Here is a 15,745-nt window from a genome sequence, read left to right as displayed (position 1 = left end):
ATACAATTATAATCTGTCAATTTACAATAAAATAAAAAATTAAAAAAGAAAACAGAAAAGAAGCCTGGGCACGGTGGCTCATGTCTGTAATCCCAACACTTTGGGAGGCTGAGGCGGGCGGATCACTTGAGATCAGGAGTTTGAGACCAGCCTGGCCAACATGGTGAAACCCTGTCTCTACTAAAAATAAAACAAAAACAAAAACAAAAAAAACAACAACTAGCCAGACATGGTGGTGCATGCCTGTAATCCCAGCTACTCAGGAGGCTGAGGCAGGAGAATCGCTTGAACCTGGGAGGCAGAGGTTACAGTGAGCTGAGATCGCACCACTGAACTCCAGCAAAGAAATGAAAACAGAAAAGAAACCCAATTTTTTTAAAACAGTTTTTAAGGCTTTATTTTTTACCATAAAATCAATTTTGCCTACTCTTCCTAGGCCACCAGGTTTCTTCTGGTTATTATTTGCTTGATTTGTCTTTTTCTCTCTTTTACTTTCAGCCTTGCTGGATCCTTCTGTATCCTGGATGTTCTAGACGCTTTGTAAAAATAAACACTTAGAATGATTTTTCTGTTACAATGTTTCCTCTATAACTCATTGTTCTTTTGCTGGAACTTTTAGCACGTTCATGTGAGTCACAGTGGATGTTTTACTTGGATTTCTCTCTACCATATTATTTGTGCCGTCTATTTGTCCATCCTGTTTTCTTTTTGTTTTGCTTTTTTTTAATCTCATTTTTTCCGTCTTTGCCTATTGTTTTCATACTCAGTTTTTCTAGAGCTATGGACAGCAGTTATGATCCTATTTTTTAGATGAGAAAACCGAGGCTCGCCATGGCTGCGGCTCATCCAAGATGGAGAGGTAGAGTGAGAAATGTCAACGAGAGTTGGTTCAAGATTTGACTGGACCGTTTCAGCCATGTTGTTGATACTAGGATTATGGCCTTGGCTGAAGTCGTCCTTCCTGCCATGTGGCTGTTCGAGTCATTGGCATTCCTGTGGGCAGGTGGGCAGGGGAAAGGCAGGTGCTGAGAGAGGCCACTGTCCAGCAACTGTGGCATGCCCGTGGCAAGGGGCCAGTAGTAGTCCGGAACCTCTCCTCAAGTGGCTCTGCCCACGTTTCCTCATCCCATCCCCCAGGGGCCACTCGGAAAGGCTGTCTCTTTCCAAGTCTAGGCAGGGAACAGATGGTCCACACAAACCTGGAACTTGAGGATTGCTGATCCAAGGGGTGGGTAGGGTTAAGGGAAAACAGTGTGAGCCGGGAAAGCATGCCAGGGCTTAGAGGTAGGCAGTAGGTTGGTCTGCATCCTCCAAACTCATGTCTTCCTGGAACCTCAGACTGTGGGCTTGTTTGGAAACAGAGTCCTTGCAGCCCAGGGGCCTCTTCTCAACAGTTGCCTCTGAATCTAGGGCTATTGTTGGAAAATGTTTAAATAATATCTCCTTTTCAGCTCTGGAAAAATCCTTAAATGATGTACAAGTTCCTCTCCGATGTGCCTGGTTTTCTTCCCTGTGCATCTTCTGTGGGTTTCACACTGTTCACTCGACCCAGCTGCTGGCCTCCCTGCTGGTTCCTGAACATGCCAGGTGCACACCTGCCACAGGGCCTTTGCACGTGCTGTTCTCTTTGCCTGAAGGCTCCTCCCCTACTTGTCTGCCTGATTTGTTCTTCATGTCCTTCAGCTCTTTAATCTGGTGGATCTCAGTCTGGGCAATTTTGTCCCCCAGGGGGCATTTGAGCATCTCTGGGCATCTTGATTGTGATAAATGGGAGGATAGATTTGCAACCGGTATCTAGGGGATGGAGGGTAGGGATGATGGTACTCAACATCTTACAGTGCCTAGGCCAGTCCCCCACAACAAAGAATTAACCCACCCCAGATGTCAATAGCACCGAGGCTGAGAATCCCTGCCTTGCTCAAATGTCAACTTCTCAAAGATTCTTTCTCTGACATTTCCTCTTTTTTTTTTTTTTTTTGAGACAGAGTCTTGCTCTGTCACCCAGGCTGGAGTGCAATGGCGCCATCTCGGCTCACTGCAACCTCTGCCTCTCGGGTTTAAGTGATTCCCCTGCCTCAGCCTCCCGGGTAGCTGGGACTACAGGCATGCACTACCATGCCCGCCTAATTTTTGTACTGTTTTTTTAGTAAAGATGAGGTTTCACCGTGTTGGCCAGGCTGGTCTCAAACCCTTGGCCTCAAGTAATCCACCCACCTTGGCCTCCTAAATTGCTGGGATTACAGGTGTGAGCTACCATGTCCAACCTGACATTTCCATTTTAAATGGCAACTCCCCCGAACCTCCCTTCCCTCTTCCTTGCTTCCTCTCTCTAGATTGCTTACTGTCACCTGATGCACTGTAGATTTTACCTGCTCGCTTTATGTGTCCTCCCTCAGGAGAACCTAAACTCTAGGATGGCGGAGATTTTTGTCTGTTTTGTTTACTGTTGTATACCTGGGACCTAACACCTGACACACAGTGGATGCTCAATAAGTACGTGTTGAAGAATGAATGAATGAATCAGAGCTTGCAAACTGGTGGCCTCCCATCACATTTGGCCTACACAGTGTTGTTGTGTTTTTCAACAGAGACAGGGTCTTGCTCTGTTGTCCAGGCTGGAGTGCATTAGTGCAATCATAGCTCACTACAACTTCAAAGTCCTGGGCTCAAGCAATCCTCTTTTCTCAGGCTTCCAAGTGGCTGGGACTACAGGCACACACCACCATGCCCAGTAATTAAAAAAGCATTTGTTTTAAGAGATGGGGTCTTGCTATGTTTCCCAGGTTGGTCCAACTAATGGGCTTAAGCAATTCTCCCTCCTTTGCCTCCCAAATCTATAGAGGATTAAATGGCCAGAGCTGGTCTCAGCATCAACGGGGTAGAATGTTGCCAAGGTAACCACCACGTGTAGCCTTGGCAGGGAAAGGTGCTCAGGTATCTGGGTCACTGAACACTCCCTATGCTCAGGGAAAACTCAGGGGTAACTGCGCACCCAGTGCCGCCAACACTACCCACCTATCACACACATACACACATATGCACACACATGCACACATACATGCACACACACATGCACACACATGCGCACACAACACACATGCGCACACACGCATGCACACACACACATGCACACACGCGCGAATACACACACACATGCATGCACACACAGGAAGAGATGGACTTTTATCAGTGATTGCTTACTTTATAACAACAGCAAACATTCGTTGACTGGCCACAGTTATCCAGGCACCATTCTAAGAGGCTCACATGGGTCATCTCTCTGAGTCCACACCATAAACACAGGAGGGCACTATTATATTTATCATATCCATATTGCAAATGAGAAAACCAAGGCATGGACAGGTGATGTACCTTGCCCGTGATCACACAGCTGGTAGTCATCAGTCAGGATTTAAACACAGCCAGTCACCCCTAGAGGTCTGCTCTCAGCCATGACGCTGAGCTGGCTCTGCACTCAGGGAGGCCCGCCTTCTCCTCCATCATGGACAGGGTCTACTTCCTCTCCCCATTGTTGCTGGACTTGGCTTTGGCCAGGAAAATATGAACAGAAGTGACAGCCATGCTTGGACCAGTCCAAGCTTGGACTTAGGAAATGTGTACTTCTGCTAGTCGTTGGAACTTGACCATTAATAGCTACTTCCTCCAAAGTAGCTATTAATACAATCTCTCAGTGTGGGCCCCAGAATGGGACACAAGGAACAAGGAGCTGACCACAGCCCAATGGCAGCGACAGGCCAAACCCAGCAGAGCTCACACCTTAGGCTGAGCTGTCCGGCCGAGCCCCGCTTACCTGCAAACCCATAAGCAAGAATAAATTGCAATCATCTTGAACAACCAAACGCTGGAGTTGTCTGTTACAAAGACTTGCTGACAGATGCATTCTGCTAAGAGATGGGATGTGGATGATCCTGACTATAACTCTCACGGCCTTTTACATGGCTTCCCCTCTCTTCCTTACCTCCCATTCACCTTTTTATCTTATTCTATTTTCTCTCCTGTTTAGGCAGAGGACACTGGCAAAATTGAGAAGAAAGCAGGGATTGGCAGAGCCCTGAGCCCGGATTTAGGAGGCTTCCCAGGATGTGGGAAGACTCCTGTCAGAGCTTCTTGTCCTGGAGGGGCCACCGTTTCAGGACATTCACCAGGACCTGACTTTGGGACATTAGTTTAGAATCCCTTTCCTCTCGTTGCCGGTACCTGTTCTCACCCCAGAGAACATCTGGCATCTCCTGTGCAATGTGCCCTTCCCTTGCAGTGGCCAGAGCTGAAGTTTTACATTTTAAGGAGGTCTCTCTCATTACTACAGCAGTTCTCTCATTACTAAAGTGCATTATAGCTACTTCTTTGACATCACTGGAAGAGAAGGAAAAAGAAAAAGGCAGAGAAAAGTCAGGGCTAAGCAATATTTCTGAGACAATGTCTATGCTCTTCCCCTCCCTTTTACATCTTGCCCGGTGAAACGATGGCCAAAGAGAATTCAAATGGCCAGGCAGAAATTTGTTCTGTGATAAATCACACTTTATCCAGCTGACAATGCACAATGCTGCCAAGACTTGGACACATCTCCCGTCGTTCTCGGCTCAGGACTGCTGTCCATGCGGGGGGTTGGCAGCGCTAATGAGCTGCCTGGCCCAGCTTGGGGAGGAGGAAGGGGAGATGGCTGGTTGCCCGCCCCACTTTGGCTGAGGAGACAGGCAGGATTGCGGGTCAGACTAGTAGGGACCAGAGAAAGTCATACTTTCTCACAATAGGATATGCTTCCTTGTAGGATCCAAATGTTGTGGTGAGGAACACAGGCTTGCATCTGTGTTGTGCTAGAGTTTGCACTGCTTTAGGATTCATTTTCCTCATCTATGAAACCAGGATTCTTTCTTTCAACCAATACTTTCTGTGCCCCTACTATGTGCTAGGTGTTTCTAGGCATGGAGATACAGAAACGAGTGGGAGAGACCAGGATTTCATTTAGAGAGTGAGAATAGATGATAACAAGTAAAAAGAAAATAATTGTGAGCAATAAATGCTACAATAAAAATAAAATAAGAAAACATGACTGAGAATGGTGCAGAGACCTCTCTCGTGAGGTGACGTTTAGGCCGGAGATATGGGGGAAGACGGTTCCAGGAAAAGATTCAATAAGAGGCACCAACATTTATTTATTTATTTATTTATTTATTTATTTATTTATTTAATTTCAAACAGAGTTTTGCTCTTGTTGCCCAGGCTGGAGTGCAATGGCGCAATCTTGGCTCACTGCAACCTCCGCCTTCTGGGTTCAAGAGATTCTCCTGGCTCAGCCTCCCAAGTACTTGGGACGACAGGCATCCACCACCATGCCTGGCTAATATTTTGTATTTAGTAAAGATAGGGTTTCACCATGTTGATCAGGCTGGTCTCGAACTCCTGACCTCAGGTGATCCACCCACCTTGGCCCCCCAAAGTGCTAGGATTACAGGCGTGAGCCACTGCGCCTGGCGACCAACACTTATTAAGTGTCTGCTGTACACTAGTTTCTGTTCTCAGAGTTTATATGTGTGGATTCCTTTCATCTTCACACAAACCATTTTACAGGTGAGGAAATCAAAGAACAGAGAAATCAAATAACTGGTCCAAGGTCTCACAGCGAACAGGAGTTGGAGCTGGATTTGAAAGCAACCATCCAGGTCCAGAAGAGCCTCACTTAACCTCTCACTTACACTGCGTGAGGGCCTGGAGGTAGGAATAATTGTGGCCTGTTCTAGAAAGAGAAAGAAGGTGGGCAGTACAAGGTCAGAGAAGTAGGCGGAGGGTGTCATGCCGGGAGAGAGCAGTGTCACAGGTTTATCAGGAGAATTAAATAAGAAAGCCCACAAGTAGGGGAACGAGCCCAGTGCCTGCAAATAGGGACACAGTGAAAGCCTGTGGCCAGGCAGAAACCTCGGGCTTGGCAGATGGGACTCTGTAGAGGGCCGGGCAGACAGAACATATTAGCCCCAGAAGGGTGTTTACAAGGGGGTTGGAAGAGGAGAGTGGTGAGAGGCTTCCAGGATGACAGCCTTAATCAGATCTGACCGCACCACGCGTGCAGTTTCTCTCCCGCAGCTCCTGCCCCAGGTCACCCTCTGCACCATCTGTCTTCTTTCTCCTTAATAAGGCACTCGAGATCCTAAAGCCCTAAAACACAGAGGCAGACGCACAGGGAGGACGGCCATGTGAAGATGCAGGCAGAGAATGCGGTGATGCCTCTACAAACCAAGGAAGAGTGCCCTGTTCCAGATGCTGGAAGAGGCAAGGTGTCCGCCAGCAGCCGTTGCCTGGGATTGTTCCCTGGAGGCCTCGGAGGAGGGGTGGCCCTGTCCACACCTTGACTCCAGACTTCTGGCCTCCAGAGCTGTGAGAACGTAAATATCTGTTGTTTAAGTCACCAGTGTGTGGCACTGTGTTATGGCAGCTCTGGAAAACTGTGACAGAGTGTGTGCACACCACTCCCACCTGGGGCGGGCGATGCTCTGTTTCAATAGCGTTATATGTCTGATATTTTCTTCTTGCATCCGTTTTCTGATTTGGAGTCATTCTTCTGAAGCTTCCTACACACAGAGAGTGTTAACGGCCACGCCAGCAGTGCTGAGGCCTCTCACAGACAATGCAGGACCAACGCCTTCCTAGGAGAACCAACGGGCAGCACCTTGCTGGGAGACGCCCAGAGAGTACCCCGTTCTCCCATTCCTCTCCGCCCTCGGCTAGATCGGGAACCATTGCTTGGATGAATGTCATCAAGGAAAACCCATTCATGGGTGGGGCTGACATGGGCTATTCCCCTAACCCAGGCCACATTAGAAATGGAGAGGAGGTGCTGGGACAGGGAACAATCAGGCGACAAAGAATAAGGGGGTGGAGGAGAGGAGCCCCCACTGTCATCCCATGGAGCTCCCTGTGGCCACAGCCCTAGTTTCTTTGGGGGTCTTCCCTTGCCCCACTCCTGTGTAGAGGTTTGGCTGAAGCTCCGCCTCCAGCCAGAAGAGTGAAATCATGTGACGATGGCCTAAGCCAATCAGAGCTTCTCATTCCTAGCCACAGCAATTGGCTCAGAGGTTAGCACAGGACGGACCTAAGCGGGAGCAATCAGAGGAGACCTCAGGATTTTGATTCAAGCCAGGCCACACAAAAGGTATTTGCTTTTCTGCTAGATTTCTACCTGTAAAGATACCATCTGGGCCGGGCACGGTGGCTCACACCTGTAATCCCAGCACTTTGGGAGGCCAAGGTGGGTGGATCACTTAAGGTCAGGAGTTTGAGACCAGCCTGGCCAACATAGTGAAACCCTGTCTCTACTAAAAATACAAAAAAAAAAAAAAAAAAAAAAAATCCAGGCGTGGTAGCGCTCACCTGTAGTCCCAGCTACTCAGGAGGCTGAGGCAGGAGAATCACTTGAACCCGGGAGGTGGAGGTTGCAGCGAGCCAAGATCATGCCACTGCACTCCAGCCTGGGAGATAGGGTGAGACTCTGTCTCAAAAAAAAAAAAAAAAAGATACAGTCTGGTAGCTGTCTGCAGCCATGGTAGGACAGGACAACTTGTCAGAGACTGTGATCAGTATGGAGAATGCTAAGCCAAGTGATGGAAAGTCGGAAATAACATAAAAATACTGATTACTTCATTTGAGCCCCTGGATCCAGCCATCCCAGAAGCCAGGAAATCTCTTACAGTTCAGATATAGGAACCCCTAGATGTTTTCCCCCTTAACTCGGTTTGGGTCTGTTAACCAAAATCATCCTCTCAGATATAAGGGGTAATTTTACTGGATATCTTCACCAGCCCAGACCCATCGGTGCCACTCTTTCCACCAGCCTCTCAGGAAGGAGGACAAGAGGAGAAACATAAAAAACTTATAAAAATGAAAAACAGGCCGGGTGCGGTGGCTCACACCTGTAATCCCAGCACTTTGGGAGGCCAAGGTGTGCAGATCACTTGAGGTCAGGAGTTTGAGACCAGCCTGGCCAACATGGTGAAACCCATCTTTACTAAAAATGCAAAGAATTAGCTGGGCATGGGATTCATGCCTGTAATCCCAGCTACTCAGGAGGCAGAGGGGTCAAAGTGGGACAGGAATGATAGGATCTGGCAGGAGAAAAAACAAGAATAGAAGAACTGATTTCCAGAGCTACATCTTCCCCGAGGCTAACCAGACACCTGGGTCTCAAACTGGACTGTATCCCGTGCTTCATGAACCTGACCAGAAACTTTTCATCAATGCAGAGACCAGCTGCAAGGTCCGTGAGACTTAAAAACTTCTCTTTCCATTTAAGTGCACTCACATGGAGCCCTATTTGGCTCAAGTAAAATCTGACTCATCAGTAAATGGTCTTATGTTCCATAAAAGTCTTTTATTAGAACAGGATATTATCTGTAGCTTAAATCAGAGGGTCAGAACAACCTGATCTTTTTGGCCAGTTCTAGGCCAAAAAAGGTTTATCCATCAACCTTTCCTAGGAACGAATGTGTGGCATAGCTCCTACCAGTCAAAGGTTTTGATTCTGTGCTTCCCATAGAACTTTCTGTGATGATGGAAATGTCCCATATGTGTGCTGTCCAGTGTGGTAGACACTAGCCACATGTGACTAATGAGCACCTGAGATGTGGCTAGAGTGACTGAGGAGCTGAAATTTTCATTTTATTCCATTCTAACTAATTTAAATAGTCACACATGGTTAGCAGCTGTCATACTGGGCAGCGCAGCTATGGGTAAATCTTAATATCAGTCTATGATGACAGCATATTCCCATACTTGCCTGAGCCTGCTGGGAATCTGAGGCCATGTGGGCTTGGTGATCAGGCAGACCTGAGTTCGAATCCTGGCTCTGCTACTAATCAGCTGTGCGGCTTTGGGCCAGTCACTCAGCTTCTCTGGGCCTGAATTTCCTCATTTGTAAAATAAGACTTAGAGTAGTACCTGCCTCATCCTTTCTCGAGTGATCTACTTAAACCCCAAACCAGAATACCCTGCAGTGTCATATTGCTCTGAGAGTAAAACAAAATTCTGAACACAGACTCCAAGGCCTTGGACGACCTGGCCCTGCCTATTTCATGCATCTTAACGTTTTCTCTTCGTCTTCTTACTCTTCATCCTCCTTCATCCTGGCTGTTCTTTTGTTCCTTGGACTTGCAAAGCCTGTTCATACCCTGGGGCCTTTGCACTTGCTGTTCTTTCTGCTTGGACAGCTCTTTCCCAAGCTCTTGGCATTTAGATCTCAGCTCAAATGCTACCTCCCCAGAGAAGCTTCCATGATGGTTGACCATGAACTAGCCCTGTGAATCCTCTCCTCGTCCCATTACCCTCTTGGTTTTCTCCATAGCATCTACAATATTTGAAATGAACTTGCTTTTATGTTTGTTTACTTATATACTTTCTATCTCTGCTATTACAGATAAATTTGTGAAAGTGGGGTTCTGGCGCAGTTGGTTCATGACTGTATCCCCAGAGCATAGTACGTGCTCAATAAATATCCGTGAAGAGAATGAGGAAATCATAGCTTTGATGAAAGGATTATGACTGTAAAGACTATGGCTGTAAAGCAAGATGTTACTGGGTGTCAGGTCCACAAAGGCCCCAAATGTGCTTTCAGGGCTTTGCCTGGCCACTTGTGCTCCTATAAGCCACCATGAGAAGAATGTTCTCAAGGTGCTGCTGCCTTTTGCCACCAAAATGAGACACACAGAGCCAACCCAAACCCAAAACAAATCTGGATCCCAGCCCACACAACTGGCACACTGAGGCAGGGCTGCTCTACTTAACCCAGGGACCCCTGAGGGAGAAACCAGTGCTTGCTGTTGTTAAGTTACTGAGATGTCAGGTTGTTTTGTTATGCAGCATTATCACAGCAATAGCTGCCTAATGCAAGTCTAGCCTCCCAGTGATTAAATAAAGACCCAAGTCCACTAGCCAATACAGTGTGGAGAACTCTCTGCTTTGAACAGCTCTCAGCTCTCAGCAGAGCTTAGTGAATATTGCAGCTGCCATGACCCCCATTACCAGTGCTACCTGACAATTATTGAGCACTTAATATGTGCCAGGCGTGTCACCTGCCTTTTCTTTTTCAATCTTTGAGTAGCATCTATGCAATATGACTCTTAGGATCTCCATATCTGAGATAAGGACACTGAGGCTCAGAGAGGTTGACTTCCCCAAGATCACTCAGAAGATAAGTGACAGAAAGACATAACAGGAGTCTGTCTGAGGCCAAAGGCAGTGGCCTTTTCTTCCAGACTAAGTCACCACACCAGGCACTTTCATGGCAATGAGCGTCCTCCCACAGGAGACTGGAGACCCCGTGGTGTCTGCTCGGCCTAGGGCGGGACTTCTCAACCTCAGCATGATTGACATTTGGGGTCAGATAATTCTTTGTTGTGAGGGCTGTCCTGGAATCGCAGGATGTACAAGCAGCGTCCTTAACTTCTAACCACTAGATGCCAGCAGCCTCTGCTCCAGGTGTGACAACCAAAAATGTCTCCAGACATTGCTAGATGTTCTCAGGGGGTTCAGTCACCCCACAGAGAACCACTGGTCTAGGGCTGCCTGGGTAGGAGGAAGAGTTGACACAAAGGCATCGTCCTGCATGCTTGAGATGGATGACTGCGTTCAAACTCAAAACAATCTTCTGGGGTAGGCCTGGGGCTTCCCCCATTTTGCAGATGAAAGAACTGAGGCTTAAAGAAGAACTTGTCAGTGGCAGAGTTCAAGCTCTTAAGCATGCCATTTAAACTGCACTTTGAATCCCAGATGGAATGCGGGCACTAGAAGAGCCCCTCAAGGAATGAGCGTCCTTGCTTTACAGCAGGGACCCCAAGTCCACAAAGGGGCTACGGTAGGGCAATGTCACCCAGCTTGGCTTGGAGTCCGGGACTTCTGGATTCCAGGAATTTCTTTGTTCTCTTTAATTTTCTTTCATCTGAGAACCACCAAATGGCTCTTGAGGATAAAGACCTTCCAGAGTTTCTTCCAAAGCCCCTCAGCCATGACAAGAACAAATAGAAAACTCTCTTCTGCTGTCCTGCTGTTTAGGGAGGGATGCCACCCGAAAGCAGTAATGCATCCTGTAGATACCCTAAAAACTTAGGGCTGTTGCCAAAGAACTTCACACTCTCAAGGACTTGGAGCCTGCAAAATCAATAGTAGGTTCAGCACAGAGAAAGTTTAGTGCTGACGGGAGCCCAAGCTCAGGGCAACTATCAGGCTGTTGGCTGAGCAAGGTTGCTCTCCATGTGCCGGAGCTAACGCAGGCACCTTTGGTCACTGGGGAAAAGCCAGGCCTGCTTGTTGCCCAAATGCATTATTTTTAGCTCTGCACTGGGATCCATTAGCTAGTATCGTGCCCTGGAGGTCAGACAGGCTGCACTGGAAATTCAATAGATGAACTTTCTCTAATGATGCTTTAAATCTCAGCATCCCCACCCTGTCCTGGGCAGTGCCTAGCAACCCATGGCTGCAGGAGTCCTGCGGAAGGCACATGCAGGGCTGAGGACCAGGGTGGGGGCACCCAGGGGGCACAGGGTGGGGTATTGTGTGTCAGTGTCATTAGGGTGAGGGGATGTACATAGGGTGCTGTCCAAATAGGAGGTACAGCCAGGTACAGGCATTAATAATCATTATTTTCCTTGCTAACTGACTCCAGTGTCCCCTCCTTGAGGACCACCCCATCCCCAGCAGCCCCCACCTAAGCCCCTCTCCAGCAGTGTCCTATTCATGTCGCCCATCATCTCCGTAAGATTCTCATGCATTTTCTTATTATCTGCTTCTCTCTATCACTAGCATGCTGCTTCCTTGAGGGCAGGGACCGCTTCTGTTCTATTTAATTGCTGTGTCCCCCATACCAGAATGGTACCTAGAAAATGGCCGGCACATCTGTGTTTAATAGATTGTCATGTGACCTGTGAAAAACACGGACTGGATATTGCTAAATCTATGACACCACACTAAGAAAACCACTGCCAGGTAATCTGTGCCATGTCATCAACTGCAAGCAAGACACAGCTTTATGTCAAAGATGTTTTAAAGCTTGGACCCCATAGATGAGATCCTCTAAGATGGACACTTGGGCATTGCAAGCGCTTGTCCATATTGCATGTTTTTCTTCCTATTATTGTTCCTGGGGTTATTGTTGGGCAAGTCATGGCCCTTGGCCCTTCTCTAGGTGCTGCTCCTTCACCTCTTGAATGTGAATCAACAAAGAGGCCGACATCCAGGGTTCTCTCCCATTCAGATGTTATGACTCCTATTAACCTGCACATCGCAGACAAGACTCCTCAGCCCTTATCATACTTTTACACCGCACACTGGCCTGGCTTCATGTTCCAAGTGCTCCAAGGCAGCGATATTCATGATGCATTGTAAGGTGAGAGAAGGAATAGGCAGAAATGCATAAGGATATGGCTCTATTTCTGTAAGACAAACCAGGACTGAAAAGCCCTTATACATGTGTGTTGAATTGTGTAGACACATGTGTGTGAGCGTGTATGTGTATGTATGTAGATTTGCCAATAAGACAGTTTGTGGTTAACAAAAACAGTATGTATGATATCTTATTCTTTAAAAATTATCTGTATATGTGGGTATATGTGTGTAAGAAATGATTACCAAAATGTTTACAATGATTCTCTAAGGGTGATGGGAGTAAAGGTAGTTCTTTCTTTCTTAGAGTTTTCTGGAGCAATTATTATTGTAGACAAATTTTATACATTACTTATATAATCAGAAAAAATACCCACCAAAGTATTTCAGGGTGATTAAAAAGCCTACAAAAATAAATGAAACAAAATATGTATGTATATCGTCACTTGTATAGTTATCCTTGCTGGGAATGCAAATGTGAATCTAAATGAAGAAATACCAGGAAATCTTAAATGAGGAATATTTTATTTAAAAATTTAAAAAAAAAGGACTGTATTTCTCAAGAGTATTCTGTGCGTTAAAAGACAGGGCAATGCTAAGGACTTGCTTCAGCTTAAAGGAGGCTAGAGTACGTGACAATTAAATGTGCATGTGAGCCTGGATTGGATCTTGTACTGCAGAAAAATATGCTCCTCCACAAGACACGGTTGGCCAACTGACAAAATTGGAAAACAGAATATGGATTAGATAATATATTGTATCAACATTAAATTAACTGAAGTTGATGACTGTGGGTATGTAAAAGAATATTCTTATTCTTAGGAAATATACACTGAAGTAGTTAGAGTTAAAAGGCCTTGATATATGTAACTTACTCTGAAGTGGTTCAGCAACAAATCTATCTATCTATCTATTTATCTATCTATCTATCTATCTATCTATCTATCTATCTATCTATCTTCTATCTATCTAAATCTACCATCTATCTAATCTATCACTTATCTATCTAACCTATTACCTACCAATAATCTATTAATCACCTATCTTATCTATCTATCTCCCTTCCTCCATCTGTCCACCCACCCATCTATTCACATATCCACCTATCCATCCATCTATCCATCTACCTGCCTATCTGTCTATCTGTCTATCTAGAGGATGGGAAGAGAGAAAGAGAGAGAGAGACTGAAACTGTGAAAAAGCAAATGGGTAAATATTGACAACAGTAGAACCTCAGTAAAGGGTATATAGTATACTTTGTCCAGTCACTGCAACCTTTGAGATAAGTTTGAAATTCCAAATAAAAAGTAAAATGTTAAGCAAAATTTGAATGTACAGAGACTATATAGCCTAATGGTCAAGAGCTTTTGGCCTTCTAGTTAGAATCCCTTCTCTGCCATGTACAAGTTGCGTGACCTCAGGCAGGTGGCCTCCATTTGCTGAGCCTCAGTTTTTTTCTACTATAAGACAGAATTAATAATAGCGATAATGCAGATGTTATGAGTAGTAAATGAGTTGGTATGCAAAATAAAGTCTCGCATGTTTACCTCTTCTGTTTGGCTGTGAGTCCTGAGAGGTTCACCTTCTTCATCTGCTTTTTCCTTACCAAAATCACAGAACCTTAAATGTGGTAGTTGGTTAATAAATGTTGGCTGAATGAAATTGAGGAGGAAAAGAGGAAGAAAGAAAACAAAGAAGGAAAGAATGAAGGAAAGAAAAAGGAAAAGTGAGGAAGCAAAATCATAAAACCCAAGTCCTCCTGCTGAATCTCAGCCTCCACATTTACACATTGGGTACTGTCCCATCTACACACATTCAAGTGCTTACACGGGCCAAGCAGATAATGGAAGTGGACCAAACATAAGGCAACTGTGATAAATCAGAAGGTGCCGGTGGGAGCTAAGCTCTGAGGATGCAAATGCATTAGAATGATACAATGGACTTTGGGGCCTTGGGGGGAATTTTGGGGGCGGGAGGCAAGGGATAAAAGACTACAAATATGGTGCAGTGTATACTGCTCGGGTGATGGTTGCACCAAAAACCTCACAAATCACCAGTAAAGAACTTACTCATGTAACCAAATACCACCTGTACGCCAATAACTTATGGAAAAATGAAAAAATAAATAAAGGGCACCCCACAGTGTTGCCAGGTGAGCACACTGTAGCTCTGCCAGATCTGCTGGATTTTCCCAATAAGCTGGAGAGGAAACCCTCAGATATGACTCGTGAGAATGCAAAATGGTATAGCCACTTTGGAAAAAAGTTTGGCAGTTTCTCAAACATTAAATGTAAGGTTACCATATGACCAAGCCATTCTACTCCTCTGTATCTACTCAAGAGGAATGAAAATGTATGTCCACACAAAGGCGTGAATGTGAATATTCATTGCAGCATGATTCATAAATGGATGAAACATCTGAAAAGTGGAAACAACCCAACTGAGTGAATGGATGAACACAATATGGTATATCCATACAGTGGAATACTATTCCGCAATAAAAGAAACAAACTACTGCCCCATGCTACCATGTAGATGAGCTTCGAAAACAACGCTAAGTGGAAAAAGTAGACACAAAAGACCATGTACTGTATGATGCCATTCATGGGAAATGCCCACAGCAGGCAAATCTATAGAGACAGAAACCAGCTTAGTGACTGCCAGGGGCCAGGGATGGGAATGGGGATTAACTGTGACAAAAATGTTATAAAATCGGATCATGGTGATGGTTGCCAAACTTAGTATAATTTACTAAAAATCACTGAATTGTACATTTGAAGTGAGTTGCATCCAATTCTTACATTTTTAAGCAACACTGTGCATATCACACAAATATACTTGGAAGCCTCCAGTCTTAATCCCTGATCTACCTAATCAGAGGATTACATGAGATGACCAGAGTTGACTCTGAGTTATTAAGCCCTTACTATATGCTGGCTACTAGGTCATGTTCTCTGTTGCATTTATAAAACTGATTAATCCTCATGCTGACCTTTTGAATTAGGAACTATGCTTATCCTCACTTTACTAAGAAGGAGACTGAGTACTGGAGGGAACGCTGTATGATTCACTCAAGGCTGCACAGCTTGAATGTGGCAAAGCCATCAGGAATTCTTCGGGAGACATTCTCCATGATATGCTTGCATTTCAGCACATTGTACAAACAGAGCATAGACTATTTTTGTTCTGAAAGGTCTTTTCAAAGTGTTTTATATAGTGAACAGTCTTGGAAGACAGACAGTGCCTTCTTCTGGAGCTTCAGGCCCAGTATGATAAAGGCATTGTCTCTTTGGGGAGGTCAGGCAGGCTTCCTGCCTGTCTTAAGTCAGGTTGGCCTGCTTTAACAGAATACCGTAAGTCAGGT

At 45.7% G+C, this 15,745-nt stretch overlaps 1 protein-coding gene across 3 annotated transcripts in view, besides 1 other annotated feature; it reads right to left on the bottom strand.

Annotated features, from left to right (window-relative positions):
* Positions 1–15,745, bottom strand: part of TMEM132C (transmembrane protein 132C) — a 440,742-nt gene that overhangs the window by 18,732 nt on the left and 406,265 nt on the right. The window lies entirely within an intron of this gene.
* Positions 9,736–9,905: an enhancer, noted in NCBI's record as "experimental_25284 CRE fragment used in MPRA reporter constructs". NCBI's record gives its function as "activates a minimal promoter by MPRAs in K562 erythroleukemia cells, with activity observed for both the introgressed and non-introgressed 12:129163905 variant alleles {active_cell/tissue: K562}" and the evidence as "EXISTENCE:reporter gene assay evidence [ECO:0000049][PMID:34662402]".

This window comes from Homo sapiens, chromosome 12, assembly GCF_000001405.40.
Source record: "Homo sapiens chromosome 12, GRCh38.p14 Primary Assembly".
Taxonomy (NCBI): domain Eukaryota; kingdom Metazoa; phylum Chordata; class Mammalia; order Primates; family Hominidae; genus Homo; species Homo sapiens.
This window is presented reverse-complemented; position numbering and strand designations above follow the sequence as displayed.